The sequence below is a fragment of the Homo sapiens genome, chromosome 4, assembly GCF_000001405.40.
Source record: "Homo sapiens chromosome 4, GRCh38.p14 Primary Assembly".
NCBI lineage: Eukaryota > Metazoa > Chordata > Mammalia > Primates > Hominidae > Homo > Homo sapiens.
Genome location: NC_000004.12, coordinates 121,523,694 through 121,530,385, shown reverse-complemented (window position 1 = coordinate 121,530,385; position 6,692 = coordinate 121,523,694). Strand labels below are relative to the sequence as shown.

General features: G+C 40.0%; 1 long non-coding RNA gene across 1 annotated transcript; it reads right to left on the bottom strand.

Annotated features, from left to right (window-relative positions):
• Positions 1–1,428: 1,428 nt before the first annotated feature.
• Positions 1,429–5,829, bottom strand: LOC107986310 (uncharacterized). Its single transcript, XR_001741807.1, has 3 exons — positions 5,613–5,829; positions 5,102–5,213; positions 1,429–1,895 (listed from the first exon to the last, which is right to left on the bottom strand). It is a non-coding gene; the product is annotated as an uncharacterized LOC107986310 (long non-coding RNA).
• Positions 5,830–6,692: the final 863 nt, after the last annotated feature.

Below are 6,692 nucleotides of genomic sequence, written 5' to 3'. Positions count from 1 at the left end.
AGAAGAAAAAGACTACCAGATAGTAAATTGGGCATACAAGAAAACAGAAGCAGAAACCAATCTAGAAAGTCTAAAATATGAATAGTAGAGGATTCAGAAAGAGAGAACAGAAAAAACAATGGGTGAAATCCTTAAAATAATTATAGAAGAATCTTCCCAGGACTGAAAGATGTGAATTGCCAGAATGAAAGGATCCACTAAAAACCCAGAATATTGGATGAAAATATATCCACACCAAGGCTCATGATTCTGAAATATCAGAACAGTGAGAACAAAAATATTCTACTGACTTTCAGAGAGAGAAACAAATCACATACAAAAGATCAGGCATCACAATGATTTGGATATCTCAACAGAAACACTGGAGCAAGCAGAAAAAAATTCTGAAAAGATATTATTTCCAACGTAGGATTGTATAATGAATCAAACTGCCAAATCAACAGAAGGATAAAATAAAGACATTTTTATATATGTAAAGTCTCAAAAAATGTGCCTTCCCCACACCATTTATTAAGAAGCTATAGGAGGATGTGCTGTATCCAAATAAGAAAGTAAGCCAAGAAAGGGAATACGGGAAATAGGTGTTTCAGCTTTGGCAAGAGACAAAAAGAATCTCCAGGAGGATCCTGAAGGGAGATCTCATGTGTACAGCTATGGACCAGACAGAGAGCGACCGACCAATCCACATTGGAGCAGAGGGATTAAAAAGATGAGTATGTTCATTTGTTTATTTACTGATTATATTCTGAGTTTCTACTAGGTGCCAGATGCTCTTCTAGGCACTTAGCATGCATATGCGAACAAAGAGGACAAAGACAAAAATATCTGCCCTCATGTGACTATGTTCTATTGTGGGGGGTGGAAAACAAACCATACACAATAAGCAAGTAAATTATATAATGTGTTAGAAAGTGTTTGGTGCTCCAGAACTTTTTTTAAATACTAGAGATGTGTAAGATGATTGAGTGTGTCAGGGGTAGTGGGTAGGGGCAGTTTGTAATATTAAGTAGGATAGTCTGGGTAGGACTTATTGAGAAGGAAAGATTTGAGCAATGAGTTGAAGGAGCTGAGTATTTGGCCAAGTAGATATTTGGGATAAGAGTGATCTTGGCTGAAGGAATAGCTAGAGCAACTCCTTAAGGTGGGAGCTCATCTGCCATCCTGGTATGATCAAGAGACTGCAAAAGAGCCACTGAGGCTAGCATAAAGTTAGCCGAAATTTGAGAATGTCAGAGAAGCAGAGGAAGGAGTCTTTATGGGTTACCATGGTGACTTTAGCTTTTATTCTATGTGAAATAGGAAGACGTTTTGAAAGCTTATGAAGAGAGAAGTCACATGATCTGACTTAAATTTTAGAAGGACCACTCTGTTTAGGTAGTTTGCCATGGCACAAGAGTTTGGATTTTCTAATGAATTGTTTTTGGCATGTGAGAGTGAAGAGTTAGGGAGGAGACCAGAGTTTTGGCATGAGCCCCTGGAAGGATGGGTTATTATCAACTGAAATGGGGAAAGCTAAATTTGGAGCTGATATTTGGGTATGGGGGGAGTTTAGATGTTCATCTTGGACATTTGAGTTTCATATATCTATTAGAAATCTCAATGGAAATGTCAGGAAGTCTGAGTCAGGAGTCTGTGAAAGAGATCTGACTTGGTGATGCATTTTTTGAGGGCTGTCATCAGAGGGCTGTCATCAATGATATATCTACTGTCATTGAGTTATCTTTTAAAGGTGAGGACAAAGGTCATATGATCTTGATCCCATTTTTCATCTGTACTAGGCATGTCCTTACTGGTGCTGGTGACATTTCTACTCTCCCCTTCATGTCCCACTGCTTGGATCAGCTAAGGACCTTTCCACATATCACCACACAGAAGTGTTTTGTCCTAAACTTCCCCTGGGAAACAAAATTTGGCATTACGAACATAGAAGAAAAAAATTGAGAAATCTACTATTTCTGACTATCTTTATGCCAGTGTCTCATGCCTAGTTCATAATATAGTTCTATCAGACAACCCAACTGCAGAAGCCCAGTGGTTCCCAGGACCCTCTCGTACACTGCCCATTTAATTCCCCAGAAAGGATGGATAAACTCTCAGTGAAGGTGAAATTTCACTGTGACCCAAGGCTGTCCAGTTTATCTTTCTCCTGGGAGCTTTCATCTGATGGTGGCAATATTGCCATTTCCTCATACAGCTCAGTTTATACTTTCTATTCATTTTTTTAAAAAACTAAAGATTAGAGATTCTTACATGGCTAGTAAAACTACAAGTAAAAGCAAAGAAATAATTAAGATAAAGTCTTGTCAGTGGTCATTTCCTGGGAGTGCTGGGGAATACATTTGAGAAGAGGCACATGGGGAACTTCTAAGGCATTGGGTAATCCTTTTCACTTGGGTGACAGCTTCATGAGTATTAATTTTGCCATTATTCTGTAACTGTACATAAATATTTTATACCCTTTTCTCCATGCATGATATATTTCACTATAATGATTAAATTAAAAATGACCAGAAAAAAGAGACACATAAAAGAGTGAATTTCTAGCAGAGTTGAGACACTAATTAAAGGCAGAAGAAAATCTCTACTGTGAATGCACATACCCAAGGGCTGCAGTGAATAGAGGATTCTAAGGGCAGCTTGGGTATAGCCTTGGCTGCTGTTTTCCGTATGTGGTTCTAGTAATGGTTGTCAAATTGCGTCAGCAGGTAGTAAGAATAGGGGTTAAGCATGGGGCAGAAAAATGAGGTGACAAATTGAGAAAGTTCATCCCCTTCTCCTCCCTGGAATATACAGAGTAATTGGCAATATGGCAAGGAAACTGATTTCCAAAAAGATTGAAAGATACGTCTTCTGGATTCTAGGGCTTCTGGCATGAGCATTAGCACACCAGAATAATAACATTTTCTTTATTTGGTATTTAGGTGTGGATAGGAAGAATGTATCAATCAGAAAATGTTAGGTGGCAAACTACCCCAAAATTTTGTGGCTTAAACTAGCAACCATTTGGCCGGGCGCGGTGGCTCACGCCTGTAATCCCAGCACTTTGGGAGGCCGAGGCGGGCGGATCACGAGGTCAGGAGATCGAGACCATCCCGGCTAAAACGGTGAAACCCCGTCTCTACTAAAAATACAAAAAATTAGCCGGGCGTAGTGGCCGGCGCCTGTAGTCCCAGCTACTTGGGAGGCTGAGGCAGGAGAATGGCGTGAACCCGGGAGGCGGAGCTTGCAGTGAGCCGAGATCCCGCCACTGCACTCCAGCCTGGGCGACAGAGCGAGACTCCGTCTCAAAAAAAAAAAAAAAAAAAAAATACAAAAAATTAGCCGGACATGGTGGCGGGCACCTGTAGTCCCAGCTACTTGGGAGGCTGAGGCAGGAGAATGGCGTGAACCCGGGAGGCGGAGCTTGCAGTGAGCCGAGATCGCGCCACTGCACTCCAGCCTGGGCGACAGAGCGAGACTCCGTCTCAAAAAAAAAAAAAAAAAAAAAAAAAAACTAGTAACCATTTATTTTAGCTGGCAATTTGAGGTAGGCTCAGCTGAGTGGTCTGGTCTTGGTTGGGCTCATTTATACATTTAAAGTACATTGCTGGGTCAGCTGAGGGGTGGATAAACTAGAATGGCCTAGGCTGGATGCCTCATCTCTGCTCCTTATGGTAACTTGTCCTGTCAGGCTATTCTAGGATTGTTCACATGGCAGCTGGCTAGGCTTCCAAGAGAGCGAGCGAGAGCTTGCCAGGCTTCTTGAGGCCTAGGTTGGAACTGGCACATCAGCACATTTATTGAACTTTATTGGCAAAAGCAAATTACAAGGTCTTCCTTGCGACTCCTCCTCTTTGTGGAAGAAATTGCAATGTCATATGGCAAGGGATATACACACAGGGAAAGGAATAGTTGCAGTGATTTTTGCAAATAATCTTTTATGGAAGGGTCTCCATCTCCTCTGATTTTTTCCCCACCTACACATCCTAAAGAAAGACCCTACCCACGTGCTCAGAGCACGCAGTCCCACTCCCATGCAAGGAAGCATACTGTAGGGGAGAATGAGTTTAAACAATGACAGACGAAACCCACATCATCTATGTATCTTAATTAACATAGTTCTCATTTGTATCTGTGAACAGACTATCAAGGGATATCAAATGTTTGAGGAAAATCAGCAGCCCAAGAGAGAGAAAAACAAAAATGAACAAATAAATGCCTGACCACAGCACCAAAAGATAAGATCAAAGGACAAAATAATTAATCTGAATTTTTATATTTTCAGAGAGATATTTATTGGCAAACTTTTAAAAATTAAGTAATGTACAAATGTATGTGTATAGTAAAAAAATCAAATTATATAGTAGTTCCTATTGTATATCGTGGCCCCAGTTCTCCTTCTCAGAGAGGATCACTACTACCTGTATCTTACTTATTCTTCCAGAATTTTACCTCCGAGACATTTGAGAAATAGCGAAACAGCCTGCTGTGAGGAAAGATCAATCAGAAAATAAGAATGTGTTTTTGGAAACTGGAAAAATAAGGTACTCTGAATTAAAATATATTCTATAGGAATATAAATAGATACTGGTATATGTAGGTATAGAAGGACCTAAAATAAAATTTGAAGAAGTCATTTTTTAATATGGAACAAAAGACTAACAGATGAAAAATATGAGAAAAATTACTGAGAGAGCCATAGATGATCAGTCTAGGAGGTCTATCTTTTAAATCAATGATAGAAAATTAGTTGGAAGAACTAATAAGAGAAATAGAAGAAAATTCATGTAATTAAAAAAAATGATTTGAAGTTTCTCTGCTGAAAAGTCCACCAAGTGCTGAACAGGATAAATAATAAAAAAAAAACAACTGCAATTCTTGGACACAACCTTATAAATTTCAGAAAATCAGGGGAAAGAATAAGAATCTGAGTATGGCGGGTGGCGGAGTAATGAGCAGAGCTTTTGTTTTGTTTTGTTTTGCTTTTAATAAAATGTCACATCAGCAACCCAGGATACTAAAAAATAATGAACCAATGCTTTCAAAGTTTCAAGGAAAACTGCTTTTGAATCTATAATTCTATACTAAACTCTAAAGGTTTTTCCTGGGAACATTTATTTACCTAGTTGCAGCGTGGAAATAGAGTCCTGCCAGGAATCTTCACACCCACGGGGTATGAAGGACAAGGTTGAAATTCGTAGGTACCAAAGTACAATGACTTGAGGAGCAAAATCCTAAAGAGGAGAGAACCACAGGTGAGCTCCAAATATTTGCGTGATCTCCTCTCAAGGCATCTGGCAACTCCTAACTTGTGCAGGACAAAGCAGTAGCTAGGAGGCTAAGGACCTGAGCAAAGATTTCAGCAGCCATATGGTGCTGGGAAGGGGGACAGATAGGTAGATTGGCCTTGGTGGAAACTTCAGGCTTTTATTTGATCCACAGAAGGCTGCCTCCTAGGAGTTAGGGCAAGTATAAGTTTCCTATGGCTGCCATAACAGATTGCTATTGAGTGCGTGGTTTAAAGCAACAGAAATTTATTCTTCCACAGTTCTGGAGGCCAGAAATCTGAAATCAAAGTGTCAACAAGGCCATGCTCTCTCTGAAGACTCTAGGAGAGGATGATCCTTCCTTACCTCTTCCTGGGTTGGGTGGCAGCTGGTGATCCTTGGTGTTCCTTGACTTGTACTGTCATTACTCCAGGCTCTGTATCTGTTGTTATGTCGTATTCCTGTGTCTTCACACCGCCCCCGAAATAACACAAGTCAGTGTGTTTAGAGTTCACTCCAATCCAGTATGACCTCAACTATACATAATTCTTCATTTCCAGTACTATTATTAGTGCTCACTCCTCCCCATCCTTCTTTCCTACCCCAGATTTAGACTTTGACATTTAATATCATTTAATCAAATGACACCAATATTAGGAAAGAAGAGACTTCTCATTATGGCTCTTTCCCAATCCTCTGTTGACAAACACCATTACCAGGAATAGCAATGCTGTCAAGATTCTGCCCATATTCCTTAGACGCTCTCACTTCAATGTGGTCCAGATAAATTTTATCTGCCAGTACCATCATCTCTGTGCCCATGTGTGAGATAGACTAAAAGTGCTAGGAAATTAATACCCTCACCCTAGCAGCTCTCAATCACTGACTGATAGGAGTGGTGTATGTATCCCAGCCCTCTTGCCTCTCTTATTGGGTAGTTTTGTGGTGTGTTTCTGAGAGTTTCTACATGGGATACCCACTGCAGTGGTTGGCTTAGTTATACATCATTTATTGGCTGCCTTCTTCATCCTGTGTCACTTCTCACTCCATGGACATTGTCCTATGCACTTCCTAAATTCACCTGAATTTTTGTCTTAGGGTATACTTCAGGGAGAACCCAAGTAAAGACACTGAGACATATGTTATTATTGTAAGTTGTCCTGAGTTGAAAAGGATAGTTTTTGGTTATTTTAACTCTACTTCACTGAAGATGAAAGAAAGGTAGATGCTGGAAATTTTGGGGTGCTGTCTTAAAGAACCTTGAATACCTTCATCTGATATACACATAGATATCTTAGATTTCTCATCAAAGCAATTAAACTAAAGTACATGACATCTTGAATAGGACATTTTCACAGTTCCGGGCTTTCTGAAGGGTAGTGTTGGTATCACAAATGGATAAAGAGCAAGCATTTTGCTCCTTAAGCATCAGAGCAAGAAGGATGA